This window comes from Homo sapiens, chromosome 3, assembly GCF_000001405.40.
Source record: "Homo sapiens chromosome 3, GRCh38.p14 Primary Assembly".
Lineage (NCBI taxonomy): Eukaryota > Metazoa > Chordata > Mammalia > Primates > Hominidae > Homo > Homo sapiens.
The window spans coordinates 108024499-108041274 of NC_000003.12; the positions used below are offsets into that span (position 1 = coordinate 108024499).

Consider the following 16776-nt stretch of genomic DNA (forward strand, 5'->3'; position numbering starts at 1 on the left):
GAAATAGATCCAAGATCCTCATCATAATGCAGGTTTTGTATCAAAATGCACAATGAACTGACTGGAACAGGAAATAATTAATCAGGACATTACAGAGCAGTTAAGTATAATTAATTCATACAAAAGAATGTGAGTGTGCAGTTTTAGCTGCTAGAGTGATTTTATTTCCCTGCAAATTTAGTTCAAGATAAACAAACATCAGAATAGTCTTTTCAGGTTTTTCATGACTCATGGGTTATTTCCTCCTTTCTAGTTACCAAAAATATTATTAAACTTATACACTAGCACCGCCAAGTTGATCATATTTTAGAAGAAAACTCCCTGCTCATAGTAAATGGGAAATTAACTCTATCATAGAAGTCACTTTCCACATATGTTAATAACCGTGTGAGTGTGTGTGCGTGAGGCAGAAACCTAGCACTTAATGCAGAATAAAAACTGGAGAGAAATTTTGATTTCTGCCCAAATATCTTAAAATCTAAGCAGAATGCATAAAAAATTATGTTGTGAAAACACCATCTGAGAATGTGACTTAATCTCAAGGGTAAACTTTATTGATATTGTGTGGGTTTTCCTTTCCTCTTATCTTTTTTTTCTCTTCTTGGGGCTGGGAGCTCTTTATAAGAAAAGAGGTGAAAAATGTCAGGCAATATGGGTTGGTGATGGTAGCAGCATTACTGGTCTTCTACCAGTTCTCCTCTCATAGTCGGGACACTCAAAAAGCCTAAAAGACATGCCCTGTGAGCAGAGCTTAATGTAGAGGTGGAAAAATTCATCACGCAGGAGTGCTGGAGGGAATATTTTCTTCTCTTTGTGGCTCCAGAGAGCACAGTGTGTTCTGTCGAGCTAGAAAAATAGAATTGGGCTGGTGTGATGGATGATGAGTGTTTGGAAGTGCCAATCCATCAAGGCCACAATAGAAAAGGCAGGGCTCCTGGATGGCTTTCATCAGGCCAGTGTGCTTCTCTCCTCCAATGGATCACTGTAGGATATTGATTCACTTCCAAGATTAACCTGATCACACATTACAACCAAAGGGCTGTTTGACTACCTATGTCACATAATGTTTTATTATGTGACAAATATAGACATGCTCCAATTTCTGATCTAATTCACAGTGTAATGATGCTCCAGTTTCTTCAGCCATAATTCTTTTTTTTTAAAATTTATTTATTTATTTATTTTTATTGATCATTCTTGGGTGTTTCTCACAGAGGGGGATTTGGCAGGGTCATAGGACAATAGTGGAGGGAGGGTCAGCAGATAAACAAGTGAACAAAGGTCTCTGGTTTTCCTATGCAGAGGACCCTGCGGCCTTCCGCAGTGTTTGTGTCCCTGGGTACTTGAGATTAGGGAGTGGTGATGACTCTTAACGAGCATGCTGCCTTCAAGCATCTGTTTAACAAAGCACATCTTGCACCACCCTTAATCCATTTAACCCTGAGTGGACACAGCACATGTTTCAGAGAGCACAGGGTTGGGGGTAAGGTCACCGATCAACAGGATCACAAGGCAGAAGAATTTTTCTTAGTACAGAACAAAATGAAAAGTCTCCCGTGTCTACCTCTTTCTACACACACATGGCAACCATCCGATTTCTCAATCCTTGCCCCGCCTTTCCCCCCTTTCTATTCCACAAAACCGCCATTGTCATCATGGCCCGTTCTCAATGAGCTGTTGGGTACACCTCCCAGACGGGGTGGTGGCTGGGCAGAGGGGCTCCTCACTTCCCAGTAGGGGCGGCCGGGCAGAGGCGCCCCTCACCTCCCGGACGGGGCGGCTGGCCTGGCGGGGCTGACCCCCACCTCCCTCCCGGATGGGGTGGCTGCCGGGCAGAGACGCTCCTCACTTCCCAGACGGGGTCACGGCCGGGTAGAGGCGCTCCTCACATCCCAGACGGGGCGGCGGGGCAGAGGCGCTCCCCACATCTCAGACGATGGGCAGCCGGGCAGAGACGCTCCTCACTTCCTAGATGGGATGGCGGCCAGGCAGAGGCTGCAATCTCGGCACTTTGGGAGGCCAAGGCAGGCGGCTGGGAGGTGGAGGTTGTAGCGAGCCGAGATCACGCCACTGCACTCCAGCCTGGGCACCATTGAGCACTGAGTGAACCAGACTCCGTCTGCAATCCCGGCACCTCGGGAGGCCGGAGGCCGAGGCTGGCGGATCACTCGCAGTTAGGAGCTGGAGACCAGCCCGGCCAACACAGCGAAACCCCGTCTCCACCAAAAAAATACGAAAACCAGTCAGGCGTGGTGGCGCGCCTGCAATCGCAGGCACTCGGCAGGCTGAGGCAGGAGAATCAGGCAGGGAGGCTGCAGTGAGCCGAGATGGCAGCAGTACAGTCCAGCTTCGGCTCGGCATCAGTGGGAGACGGTGGAAAGAGAGGGAGAGGGAGACTGTGGGGAGAGGGAGAGGGAGAGGGGGGAGAGGGAGAGGGAGAGGGAGGAGCCATAATTCTTGTATTTGGAATCAGTCTAGTTCCCAAGAACTTCAGTTTGATGCTCTTCAAGTTCTACCTTCACTATAGGATGTGGTTTTCAAGATGAAAGTTACGACCCACCAATGGGTTTTGAAATAAATTTAGTAGGCCACAACCAGTATTTTTTTTAACAAAGGAATCGAATAGAAAAGAAAGTATCAGGATATATAACACATGGCAAGGATGATAATATGTAAAACTTTGGTTTCAAAGACAATATGTGTGTCTATTTATATATCTATTTCACACCATATATGCTGACCTACACACCTACATGTTTGTGTGTACTTGGTTATGATAAAAATTCATTAAATGATGGTAAAAAAAAGTTTGAAAAAACAAATAATTCAATCTAAAAATGAGAAAAGAATCTCAATAGACATCTCTCAAAAGAAGGCCTACAAATGGTCAACAAGAATATGAAAACATGTTCAACATCTCTATTAGGGAAATGTAAATTAAAATCACATGAAATATCATCCAACTCCCATTAGAATGGCTGCCATCAGAAAAACAAAATAACAACAGCAACAACAACAAAAATCGAATGTTGGTGAGGATGTGGAGAAAAGGAAATTCTTATATTACATTCTTGGTAAGAATGTAAATTAGTACAGCCATTATAGAAAACAATATGGAGGTTTCTCAAAAACCTAAAAATATAACTACCATATGATTCAGCAATCCCACTACTTCCCCAAAGGGAAGGAAATCAATATATGGAAAAGACATCTGCACTCCCATGTTTATTCCAGCACTATTCACAATAGCCAAGGTATGGAGTCAACCTAAATGTCCATCAACAGAAGAATGAATAAAGAAAATGTGGCATGTATACACAATGGAGTACTATTCAGCCATATAAAAGGAATGAAATTGGTTGGGGGGGCATGGTGGCTTACGCCTGTAATAGCAGCACTTTGGGAGGCCGAGGTGGGAGGATCACCTGAGGTCAGGAGTTCAAGACCAACCTGACCAACGTGGAGAAACCCCATCTCTACTAAAAATACACAATTAGCCAGGCGTGGTGGCACATGCCTGTAATCCCAGCTACTCGGGAGGCTGAGGCAGGAGAATCACTTGAACCTGGGAGGCAGAGGTTGCGGTGAGCCGAGATCACACCATTGCACTCCAGCCTGGGCGACAAGAGCGAAACTCCGTCTCAGAAAAAAAAAAAGGAATGAAATCCTGAATCCCGTCATTTGTGACAACATGGATGAGCTTGGAGGACATTATGGTAAGTGAAATAAACCAGGAACAGAAAATAAATACTGCATGTTCTCTCTCATACATGAGAGCTAAAAAAAAGTTGGTGTCTAAGAAGCAGAGAGTAGACTAGTGGTTATTAGAGGCTGGGAAGCATAGTGGAGAGGTTGGTTAACAGACTTAACAGACACAAAATTACAGATAGATAGGGGAATAAGTTCTAAGTGTTCTATAGAACTGTAGAGTGAATATAGTTAACAATATTTTATTGTATATTTTTAAAAATCTAGAAGAGAGGATTTTGAACGTTCCCAACACAAAGAAAAGATGAATGTTTGCGGTAATAGATACGTCAATTACCCTGATTTGGTTATTACGCATTATATACATGTATTCAAATAGTGCTCTGTATCCCATAACATGTACAATTATTATATGTCAACTAAAAATAAAAGAAAAAACATTTGAAGGCTTGTGCTGTATGTTTTGAGCCATTCTAATGCCTGAATCACTTACAAAGAGATGCAGAGCGTGATGAAGCTAGTCTGTACTGGGAAAAGAAATGGCTAGAGCCAAAAAAAGAAAGGGACTTATGGAAGCAAACTCACAGTGGCTACTCTGCTCCCTACCATTGCCTCTGACGAGTTGAGGTCCCCAGGAGGTCTCCTCATACACATCGTTCTTCCCTGATTGCCTGTGAGATAACTCTTTCCTTTCTTTCCTATCTGTATACACAGCATGAGTTTCCATAAGCTAAATGGGACATAACATGATTGATTAACTAGGGGACATGTGTAGACCCTCTTCTGACCCATACAGAAGTAGAGTGTGTGGGCAGAGAGAAAGGCCTGTTGTGTAAGTGCCACAGCCTCTTTGTTGTGCTAAAAGCAATGGAAATGTCTAAGAAGTATTGTGATGGCCTAAGACGTCATTCTTGAGCAAGAGCTAGATGGAATCACATGCCATATTTTTACGTTTACAATTTCAGTGTTCTAGCTATATACTTAAAACTATAAACAATGCTTTTGTTACAGAGATTCCTGCAGTCCCCATGCCCCTCTTTTTTTTGTTAACTGAAACAAAAGTATGTATAATGCTGTTTTTGTTAAAGTAAGGTTGCCTGGGCACACCACCCTCACATCATTGCAGAACGCACTAAACTAGAGCCTGCCGTCGTTTGGGCCAACCCAACGGAATTGCTCTCCCTTGTAATCATAAGGACCTAAAACTGAACAGGTAACATACCCAACATCTCAGATTCATTATTTTTAATGTATTTTTTTTTGGTAGCTTTGGCATGGGACAGTCACATCAAAGGTGCTTGTTATGACCTAAGCAATCATCATCAATAGCTGATAACATCCAAAGAGAGACACAACCAGACATTATGCACCTCCTGATTATAGTACAAAAGAATGCAAACTAAGTCTGCACAACCTCCAGCTCTAAGTACCAATGCCAAGGAAACACAGGAGAAAAGGAAACGTACTAAACCATGTTATTATTGGAATGCCATTAACCAAAGCCAACATGTGGGAGACTACCAGACAAGAAGATTTAGTTCCTTTAACAGCATCAACAACACAGCAAACAGGGAAAAAGAGGATGGAGTTTTCATGCCTCAGGGATACTGAGGCAAATAAACTGTCAGTAAAGAAAAGAGAGCAAGGTAGAAAGAGGCTATTTATAGGAGAATCAGGAAAATGTAAATACTAAATGAATATCTGATACTATTACAGAATTATTAATATTGGTTTTTAGGGAGCTGTGATGATTCTTAGGGAGGTGTCCTGATGCTGCATAGTTGCTTTTAAAAAGGGCACTCTTTGTCTTTTACAGATCCACACTGAAACGTTTACTGATGAAATGCTCTCTAACATCTGGGATTTCCTTCAAAATTATCCGGGGCAGAGAGGGAGTGGGTACGGGCAGAGGAAATAACATAGGACATAAGTTGAAAATACTGAAGCTGAGTGAAGGGAGTTCATTGTAATACACTCCACACTTTGGTATATGTTTGAAATTTTGCCTAATAAAAAAAATTCAGTGTCTATTTTACAGATGTATTTGTCATTTCAACAAACATATGTTGAAATCATGTTGCACATTAGGGATTGGAGACATATACACAAATTAGCATTCCGGCCAGACTGCTTATCATTACTTCTTATTTCCTGTTTGTAAGATGCCATTCGTCTGGGCAAGGTAGCACATGCTTGTAATCCCAGATTTTTGGGAGGCTGCAGTGGGACCATCACTAGAGGTTAGCACTTGGAGACCAGCCTGGGCAACATAGGGAGACATCATCTCTACAAAAATAAAAGTAAAAAAAATTAGCCAGGTGTGGTATCATGTGCCTATAGACCCAGCTACTCAGGAGGATGAGGTGGGAGGGTCCCTTGAGCCCAGGAGTTCAAGGCTGCAGTGAGCTAAGAAGATGCCAGTGCGCTCCTCCCTGGGTGGCAGAGCGAGAACCTGTCTCTACAAAATAAAATAAAATAAAATGTCATTTATTTTAAGACACACAATTATATTAATTGCAGCTTTTGAAGTATCCCGAAGGTCAATGCTCACTTGGAGTGGGAGAGGGGAAAAAAAGCCCACCATATTAAAATTAAACATTGATTTTGAGACACATTCTAATTTCAGACTATCCAAACTATATATCTTTAGATCAAGGAAGAATGGTGATTCTTACTTTCTTTTGGCTCTATGGTAAGTATCTGGTTGTAAAGTCTGAGGGCATCCTAAGGGAAAATATTGTGTCCAGTGTAACTGTGGTTTTGATCCTATAGTTTTTTCTTTCTTTTTTTTTTCTTCAGTGTGTCAGAATCTAGCTATCAAGTTGAAATAGGTTAATCTGATCTTATCACCAGCAGACGCATCTCAGTCATCTGGAAGAAAGTGCTGTTACAAGAAGTAACTCTGGGTATGCGCTTCAGGAATGCAGTTGTGGAAACCATGTTTGCGGCTGCTTTAAACTGTTTCCCAGGAGTCAAGGAAAATTCAACAATCTGAGACCAAAAAGGTATCTTCGGCACAGTCTTCCTTGGCACAGCCGTGGAGAACAGAGCCAGGGCTTTGAGTCAGAGGAATTGGGTTGAAACCTGCCTGTATTGGTTGCAACCTGGTGACCTTGGATATCCTTTTTATTCTCTGAGCCTTATATACCCCCTGGATAAAATATATCTGATGAAACCTGCTGTTGCATGTTCTGGGATTTAAATGAATAACACCGTACCTAAAGCATTTGGTGCAGGGTTAGGACGTGTAGAAGCTTAAGTTGTTATTCTTCTTCTTAACATTTTCCTGGAACTCCGGTGAGGCTCCCCGAGCATGGGACTTTTTAGCTCCGTCTGACGACTGATCCCTGCAGTTAACTGATCATTCTACAAAGCCACCATTTGCTGAATCCATTGCCAAAGAATCGATACAGGTGATATCTCAGCCCAAGCTGCTATATCAAAATACTATTGACTGAGTGGCTTAAGCCACAGACATTTATTTCTTACAGTTGTGGAGGCTGGGAAGCCCAAGATGAAAGTGCTGGCAGATCCTGTGTCTAGTGAGGGCTGTCTTCCTGGTTGGCAGATAGCCGTCTTCTTGCTGTATCCTCGCATGGTGGAGAGAGAGATCTCATGTTTCTCCATTTCTTTAATGAGGGCATTCAGCCCATCATGAGGGCCCCACCCTCACCCTCATGACTTAATCTAACCCAGCCCCTACCTCCAAGTACCATGAGGGTTAGGGTTTCAGCATATAAATTGAGGGGAGGAAGACACAAACACTTAGTCTATAGCAGGTGAATTGGCTGCTTCCATCCTGGCTTGGAACTTCAGACATAGAAGCCTTGGGACTTTCTCAGGACTTTCTCCAGATCTGACTCATGCTCAGCAAACAAGCATCTCTGTGGATCACGTGACCTTAGCCAGGGATGTTGGTGAAACTGTGTGTTGGTCTAGGTACCTAGCCCATGCTAGGTGCTCATCGAATAGCTTTAGTGGGTGACTGTGACTGAAGAGGCATCCTGGGCTGTGCTTTCACACCACCAGTGCCAATGCTATGCATTTGCTCTTTTTCTAGCATTTTTTTTTTTTTTTTTTTTTGAGATGGAATCTTGCTCTGTCTCCCAGGCTGGAGTGCAGTGGCATGATCTTGGCTCACTGCAACCTCTGCCTCCCAGGTTCAAGCAATTCTCCTGCCTCAGTCTCCCAAGTAGCTGGGATTACAGATGTGCACTACCATGCCCTACTGATTTTTGTATTTTTAGTAGAGACGGGGTTTCACCGTGTTGGCCAGGCTGGTCTTGAACTCCCGACCTTAGGTGATCCACCCACCTCGGCCTCCCAAAGTGCTGGGATTACAGGCATGAGCCACCGTGCCTGGCCTTTAGGATGTTTATATGCTCTCTATGCACCATGATATTTGCGCCCTGGCGGAGCAGTCTCAGTTCCACTTCTGAGCTGGGATGAGTATTTAGCTCCTTCCCCATCTGATGCGAACTAGGCAACACTACAGAGCCAGAGGCAGAAAACAGGAGGGCTTCTCACCTGTCCTTGTCCATGAATAGCCAGTGCTCTGCTGAGGACTCCAGGAACCCACTCTTCATGATCAGCCTCAATTGGCAGTGGCCATCTCCTCTGGCAGCAAGCACAAGTGGACTTCTCTTCCTGCCCACATCTGCTAGATGAGGGTGACCCTCTGGAGAGAGGCTGGGAGAAGCTAGCCAGCCTGTAACCAGTGGGCTAGTGTGTGTACATATTGTATGCATGCTGGGGGACAGAAGAGGGTGTGGGGAAGGGCAACTTGCTTTCCCCAGGTGAAGGAGTAAGGAAATGTTTCCTTCCCAACCTTCTTTCTAGACCAGCTAATACTCCAGTTTCACCCTTTGGGCAAGTCATTTATCTGTCTGAGCCTGAACTTCCTCATGTATATGAAAGATGGAGAAGACCATTGTAGAAATTCATGTTATTAGTATTCCAAGCAAAAGAGCTAAAGGTTGGTCTCTCAAATTCCTACCCCTTTGAAGACCGATGGATAAGATTCTTTAAGTTTGCTGCAGGTGATTAACTATGCAAGGGCTAAAGACAGCAGAACTCTTGCCAAAGTAGCGTGCCACGGTAATTCTGCCATGACCTATGTAAGCAGAAATGGGTGGATAAATAGTTGCAGACTATCTACAGATTTCCGTCTTCCAAGTCTTCCAGGCAGAGGCTACAAAATAAAATACCCTTAAGAGCCAGGCAGGTAATGAGAATGAGTGGTGCATGCCGGGGGTTTGCATAGTAAATATTAGCACTATTCCTTGCTTCCACAAAGGCGCTTTCTGCACTTGCTGGTAAAACACACAGTCCTCTGGGTATATGTTTTGTTTTCTCACATTTTGTAGATTCATGAGCACAGAGAAATATTTCTGCACTACAAGCAAAACACTAAAATATAGGCTGAAGTAGCAACAGTGGAAGGAGCCCTGGAGAATTGGGAAGCATGTACTCTACCCAAAGAGGACCTAAGCTGTGCAACTCCAGCTCACCGTTCAGGGAGGGGAGTAATGTGGGCCCAGTGTAGCCAGAACCTCTACTTCTTTATTTAAAAGAAGCTGGAAATCCAGATTTTTAAAAACGTAGAGTCTCCTGCTTTTGCTGTTTTTCTTTTTCTTCTTTTTCCCTTTTAATGGTGCACATGTATTTTTTAAAACTTTGTGCACACGAAATAAAACCCACCTCCTGGTGGCCTGTCTGCCTCTTACCTTCCACATACCACACTGAATTTTGAAGGGTTCTCGCTGAATTGCTCCAAATCTGACATTCTGGGTAACCCTCCTCATGCAGCTGGGAGCCTTTGGAATCTTCACAACCAGGAGGGCTGTGTCTTTGACCTTGATTTAGGCCTTGTGTCTTCAGGGCATGCCAAGGGGCCGGTGCAGGCTGGACAGAGGTGTGATCTCCTTTTCTCAGCATAATTTCCTTCCTGGGGTCTTCATATCGCCCTGAGGCAGGAGCTGGGGTGCTGGCTCCTTCTGAAGGTCGCTTTTCTGGCCTTTGCCTGGGTGGAGATTAGAGAAGAAAGGTGATCCTGGAAACCTGACCAGCTTCCCGAGAGAGATGATAGGAGAATAGCGCTGGGTGAGCCATTGAGACATCTGGGCCAAGTCCTTCATTTTACAGACAAACAAGCTGAGATGCAGGAAGCCACAGCATCTTATCTGGGTCCCCAGTTCATCAGCAACAGCTAAGGGGTGAGATCCCATGTTTCCCACCCCACCACCCGATGCTTCATCCACTGTGCTTTTTGGCCTCTGCCTCCACCAAGTACACTCAGCCCCTCCCAGCCATCTCTGGAGTTTAGTTGGGATTTGAACTGACTGAATGATGGGACTTTAGTACTAAGCCTGGGGACCTAGGCAAGGCCAGAGGAAAAGCTGACGAAGGGAGAGGAAGAATCAGAAACACTCATTTTCCTCTGGCTGTGAGCAGAATTCACCTGAGATGCACCCGGAAACGGGTCTGTTGCTTATTTTGTCACCAGGGTCTGGGGTTGCCCATGTCCACAGAGCCTATCAGGTCATGAGGGACAGACCTAGCAGTAGCATTTCCATGGCTCTCTACCAATTTTCACTGGTCCGTTGCTTGATATTCAAATGAGCACCTTTCTCACTGCCAGTGAAGGGGCTGCTCCCCTGTGGAAGGTATCCTGACAGGGAAAGCTTGGCTTAAAGAATTGCTTGTCCTGTGATTTCTGACCTATGATTTGCTATTTAATCCTAAGTAGCTATTTTTTTAATCAAAAGTTTCAAGTTTCTCCCAACACCACCCTTTAAAAAAAAACTGTTAAGAAATGGGGAAATGTGTGGATTTAATTTTTTTTGTTTTCCTGCTTATGACTGGGGGGGAAGAATGTATAACATTTGTTGAGCTTCTAGTTATATTCTGCTAGGCCCTTTTATATACATTATTTTATGTAGTCCTCAAAACATTTCCAGAGCCAGGCATGGTGGCTCACACCTGTAATGCCAGCAGTTTGGGAGGCCAAGGCAGGAGGATTGCTAGAGCCCAGGAGTTTGAGGCCAGCATGGGCTACATAGTAAAACCCGGTCTCTATGTCTCTGCAAAAAGTTTTAAAAAAATTAGCCAGTGTGCTGGTGCATGCCTGTAGTCCCAGCTACTTGGGAGGCTGAGGCAGGAGGATTGCTTGAGCCCAAGAGATCAAGGCTGCAGTAAGTCGTGATCATGCTATTGCCCTCCAGCCTTGGTGACACAGCACTACCCTGTTTTAGGAAAAAAAATTCAGGATGTATGTATTACTATTTTAAAAAATGTCCTATGTAATAAATGAGGGGATCAAGGTTCAGAGAAAGTAAGAAATTTACTAAATTTATATACCCCATCTTGGAGGGACTGTGTCTGATCCTGACTGTATTCTTCGGCCTTGCATAGCGCCCAGCACAGAAGAAATGCTCAATAAATAGCTTCTGATAATGTTATTTCCAGGGTAAGAGAGCCAGTAAATGATGAGCCTTTCATGAAAGATTTAAAAAAAAAACACACCAAAAAAACCTTGTGAGATGAAGAAAAGAAAGACATTTGCATCAGTAATAGTGAAAGAAGAAATTACTTTGATTTGTAGACCATCGCATCTTTCTTTCAAGGATTTGGCTTTATTTGGCGTGGTATCTCACTTGTCTTTTCACCAGTCCTGGCAACATTCCTGACAAGTGAGAGGAAGTGAGACAAGAAATGATACAGTAAGGGCCAAGTACGCAACTCCAGGGCCAGGCATAGTCATTGCCTGCTTGGGCCCCACTTCCTTCCTGCACCCCCGGGGTCATCAAAGCACACTCTCTCTTCAGATTCCTCTGGAGACAGGGGTTTCTGCCTCTTACCCCATCCCCTTCACCTGGGAGAGAACTGTCACTAAACTCAGCAAGGAAGACTTTCTCACCTTGGGTTTTCAGTTAATGGGGGTAGACACAAAACAACTAAGGACATTGACTGCGGTAAGGTATTTAGACAAAGCAGGTAGAAACAACCCCTGACCCCCAATCTATCTTCCCCACATCTGACCTTTAATGTGTACTAAACAAATTTAGTTGAAAAGAAGCAAAACCTTAAGTAAACATTTTGCTGCACATTTATGTATTGCTTTTATTGTCAGAAAAAAAATAACACCACATTGATACTTTTAGCTATAGTTCTAGATACAAGCTTTGCTTATATTAACCCAAAATGGTATGTTTGCATCAGAATCACAGAGTAAGAGTTATAGAAGTGGCTTTACAGTCACAATTCTTCTAGAAGATTTCTGTACTCCAACTGGAGATCTATAGACCTGTCCACTGCAGGGCAATGGGAAGTTTGCATGAGACTCCTAAACACACACCCCTACCGCTACCCATCTTGAAAGCTTGTGTGAGACACAGAAGTCTTGATTAAATGCAGATGACAGTGTCCTGAGTTGATTTTTCTCATTTAACATTAGACTGTCTTGATTTAAGTAGCTCAGTAAGAAGTGAGACATAATTGGGTCTTGCTTTTAATTAAACATAGACATATATTTATTTATTTACTAGTACCATTGAGATACTGCTTAATTTTCATTAATGCTGTTGACTTTTTCTCTCCTTAGAACAACATTCTTGTTAATCGTGCGGCTGCAATTAGTTGTCCTGTGTTTATCTTTCCGGCTCCACAGCTAATTCCAGCGTAGAACCAATTTATTTATAGTTTTCACTGCTCAGAACATCCTACCCACTGAAAATTCACTGATAATGCCATAACTCAGAGTGTCCTTTTATTTCTGGGTGGAAGGAAGCAAGGGATTGGTTTGGAGGCAGAAGCGAGAGGGAGGTATCAATAAGATCCTCTTCATTCGGTAGCATAGAACGGCAATGTTCCTAATGAAGGACACAAACATACGCTTTCTGATAGAATCATGATGCTGGTTTTGGCTCTCTGCATCACTTTCAGTTCCCTCAGAGGCAGACCACAGCCTAAGAAAGAACTCTAGTATAGTTATTACATTCCTAAACACCAAACAAACATAAACAGGGAAGCATCTTTTAGTGGAATGTGACATGCTGATTCACCACACCTCTGGCCAAGTTGGGAGTCAGGAGCTAAACTGCCCACATATTAGGACAGTTTAGGTTCCCTTTCTATGGAAAATGTATACTTCTGTAAGCATTAAAGGCTTAATAGAAAACCATGCCTTAAAATGGACTTGGGGCCTTTAATCAGGCTCTCTTAAAGCAAGTTTCTGCGCTCCACTCGAAGGACTTAGGCCAGTTAGCCTCGCGTGGTGTTTTATTCCTGCTTGAACTGGGCACCATCCGTGGCCATATGAGTAGGTGGAGAAGAGGTAAATAGAAGCCACTTCCAATTCACAGCATGTCACCAGCTGCCTTTTCTGCGTTCCGCAGCCACTCAGGAGGACTGATGGAACAAGGACTCTAATCATTTTAGAGAAGAGAGCAGGCTGATTACAGTATAAACCTAAGCCTTTCAAAACCCCCGACTGAAATACTTCCATTTGCTAAATAATATTTACTAGGCCTCAATATTTTCAACAACCATCTTCACTCCCAAATACTTGGATTTAGTTTCTGCTGGTTATTAGCCTAAAGACAGCTCTAAGTTCTTAATCATATTCTTTCTGGTGTGATTGGAGAGCCTGCTCTTAACATATTTTCAGAGGTCTTGAGAATCTGTCACTGACGTGAATAAATAAATGAATGAGCTGAGTGATGTTGGCAGGAGGCACGGGGTCCCAAAGCCTCTGTGTGTGCTACAGGAGTGGGATCCTTTCCTTCCACCTTCTTTGCATTCCAGGAAAGGGCAAATAGGATTACCCAATGCCAAATGTCACCTTCTGTCCTCTGCTTTCATTAAGGAACCGGAGGGTGGCCTAACATGAATATTGTGCTTGGAATGAACATGTCTGCAACTTAGCTGCACTTGTTATATTATTTTATATTCTTAGTCATTTTGTGTCCTGTTTGCTTCTTTGCCAATAACCCAGCATAGGAAAATACATATTCCAGCATATGTTATGTTCATCGCTAGACTGTGTCATGGTAAGCTTTTTCCACCTTGGCCAAAGTATAATAAGAGGAAAAAGATAAACAGCTTACACATATTGAGAACTTACATTGAGCCAGGCACCATGCTACCCACCTGACATGCTTTCTCTCATTTAATCTCCATTTTACACATGAAGACATTGAGGCACAGAGAAGTCAGGTTACGTGCACAAGGTCACACAGGTGGGGAAGTGCAGGCTGGGGCACTCGGCTCTGTGCACATTGCCTCTCTTCTAAGTGCCTGCACTGACAGCCAATGCTTTTCATCAGGTGCTCAGAAGAGATGAAACCTAGGAGCACAGGAAGCACCTCTACTCCATGGAAAAAGAAGCAATTATCAGAAAACATCGAAGCTTCTGTGGCTGTCTTTCAAGGGCAAGAATAAATGCGGTGAACTATCCTTGAAGGCACTAATAACTGGGCTGCTGAACACCACCACGGCGATTATTGTTTTCCGGGCTGACACTCGGCCGGTTTTTTCTCCTTTTTACTTTCAGGCTAATAATTAGATTTAAATCCGTGACAGGACTCTAACCATCACCTCAGGGGGTTCTAGATTTCTTTACTATTGCTTGCAAAGATTTCATTTTAAAAAAGCCCTTTGAAACTATAAGTAAGTTACACTAGCAACAGCTTTTAAAAAAATCTATTATCTTATTGAGTCTTTTGAAGAACATATGCTGCTCTCTCCCTCCTAACCTTGAGAGACCAACCCTTATTTTTATCTCCAATTTGAAGAATAAAAAATGCCCAGGAGGACGAGTGAAGGCAGAGTCATAAAATGTGGTTTTCACCAGCACTGATGTCACTGCCAGGTTGATTTGGACAGCCCTCGGAATGTGTTGAATCAGGAATTTCGTTTCGTTTTTTGATTACAAAAATTTTTTCCTATGTATAGTGAAAATTATTACGGTGGCTTTGCTTCTCAGGGGTTGAGGAGAAAGAACTGTTCTTTATATGAGTAAATGACGCTCTTGACCTCTGTGGCAGGTTGCTTTGAGCAAGGCAGTTAGAGGCGAGGTTTCGCAGAGCGCATTTTACCCACCACAGCCCTGCTCTCCTCGGATGCCCATGCCGATGGGCGAGTGCACTCACCTGGCTGTGACCGTGGAACGCCGCTTTTCTCAGTGTGAAGACACCTGGCCCAAACAGGGCACTTTAAACCCTTTGAGGAATAAGATGGAGTCATATAAATAAGTAACTGGCTCAGGTGAGGACCCACTGGCAACCTGGCCTCATTAGCACTGTTAAAGCAACAGAGTCGTCTCCCTGGAGGCTCTGTCACACACGAAACATCTGTTCTGGGGCCTTTCTGTCACCTTATGACTGCTCTGGAGAATCCCAGTTGCTTCTGAGGAGAAGACAGAGAGCCTGTTGGTCTCCGTACTGAGTCTGATCTATCCACACAATAAAGAAAAACAATTCTACCCAGAGGCCCTAGGATAAGCTGTGGGAAACTAGTCCAGCCAAGCCCTTCAGCGAAGGTTTTTCTGGAAGAATGTATTTAATACTTTTCCAGAGATATAAAAAGAATACAAGAATATTTAATTTTACTTGGCTGGGCGCGGTGGCTTACGCCTGTAATCCCAGCACTTTGGGAGGCCCAGGCAGGTGGATCACCTGAGGTCAGGAGTTCAAGACCAGCCTGGCCAACATGGTGAAACCCTGTCTCTACTAAAAATGCAAAAATTAGCCGGGCATGGTGGCAGGCACCTGTAATCCCAGCTACTCAGGAGGCTGAGGCAGGAGAATCGCTTGAACCTGGGAGGCAGAGGTTGCAGTGAGCTGAGATCCTGCTATTGCACTCCAGCCTGGGGGACAAGAGTGAGATTTCATCTCAAAAAAAATAAATAAATAAAAAATAAATTTAATTTTACTATAGTGTTTTTGAAAAAACTTAAAAAAAATTTTTCAGTATAACTTCAAGGATAATTCTTTTAGGCAATTAATAAATGCCCCATCTTCTATCATCATCAACTTAAAGCAGAAAGGTTCCATAATTTTCTGACAACTTTCCTTGAGCAGAAATGAGAAAAACTGATTTTTGTGGATGTTTTCAAACATATTCCCGCACAGGATCCATGGTAATCTTTTCTGTTCCATGGAGTAATAGTCGTTAGCAGACAATTCCCACTGATAGCTAGGCATATAGCTAAAGACAGGAAGAGACATGGGCTCTACTGAATCCATGATAATCAAATTTAAAAACCTAAGATATGTATCTAACCAATTCAATTGTGAGAAGTGAATACTTGATAGTATTGCAATAAACAAAGGTTTACTCAGGTTACCAAACATATAGAACTTGCACAAGTGACAATTATAAACATCACATTCCAAAAACGTTTGGTTGAGCTGTGGATGGAAACTTCCCAGAGAATAAGGAGCATTCCTAGAATGAGCTGCCTGGGAGGCAGGGGCTGGAGGCAGCCGCCACAGGGCTCTCATCCCATGTGGTGGGGCCGCTAGTCCTACAACTGCTGGAGGAGGAGGCTGCAATGGTAGGGAGAGCAAAGGTTCCAGTTGTTCCCAGTTAGCATGCCAGAGACATATTTCCCCACAGAATCTGTGACATATATGATGACTGGTAGAGACACAGGACACAGGTCCTGTGGACCTGTGCAGGTCCACTCTGCCCACAGTGCAGCTTAACTACAACACCCTCCACAAACAGTATTTTTAATAAAAATGAGCAAAACTTAGAGAGCTCCATGAAAGACATATTCCATGCTTTGTTATTTTAATTATTATTATTATTTTTTGAGAAAGGGTCTCGCTCTGTCTCCCAGGCTGGAGTGCAGTGCTGTGATCATGGCTTCCTGCAGCCTCTATCCAGGGCTCAACCGATCCTTCCACCTCAGCCTCTCAAGTAACTGAGACTATGGGTGCCCACCAGCACCTCCAGCTATTTTTTGTATTTTTTGTAGAGACAGGATTTTGCCACATTGCCCAGGCTGGTCTCAAATTCCTGGCTTCAAGCAATCCACCCACCTTGGCCTCCCTAAGTGCTGGG

General features: G+C 43.6%; 1 long non-coding RNA gene across 1 annotated transcript, besides 2 other annotated features; it reads right to left on the bottom strand.

Annotated features, from left to right (window-relative positions):
- Positions 1016 to 1539: an enhancer, noted in NCBI's record as "NANOG-H3K27ac hESC enhancer chr3:107744361-107744884 (GRCh37/hg19 assembly coordinates)". NCBI's record gives its function as "activates a minimal SCP1, AML or CMV promoter by ChIP-STARR-seq in naive H9 embryonic stem cells {active_cell/tissue: H9 hESC(naive)}" and the evidence as "EXISTENCE:reporter gene assay evidence [ECO:0000049][PMID:30033119]".
- Positions 2064 to 2585: an enhancer, noted in NCBI's record as "H3K27ac hESC enhancer chr3:107745409-107745930 (GRCh37/hg19 assembly coordinates)". NCBI's record gives its function as "activates a minimal SCP1, AML or CMV promoter by ChIP-STARR-seq in naive H9 embryonic stem cells {active_cell/tissue: H9 hESC(naive)}" and the evidence as "EXISTENCE:reporter gene assay evidence [ECO:0000049][PMID:30033119]".
- LOC124906265 (uncharacterized) lies at positions 6135 to 15429 on the bottom strand. The gene is made up of 3 exons (XR_007095995.1): positions 14859 to 15429; positions 11300 to 14074; positions 6135 to 9730 (listed from the first exon to the last, which is right to left on the bottom strand). It is a non-coding gene; the product is annotated as an uncharacterized LOC124906265 (long non-coding RNA).
- Positions 15430 to 16776: the final 1347 nt, after the last annotated feature.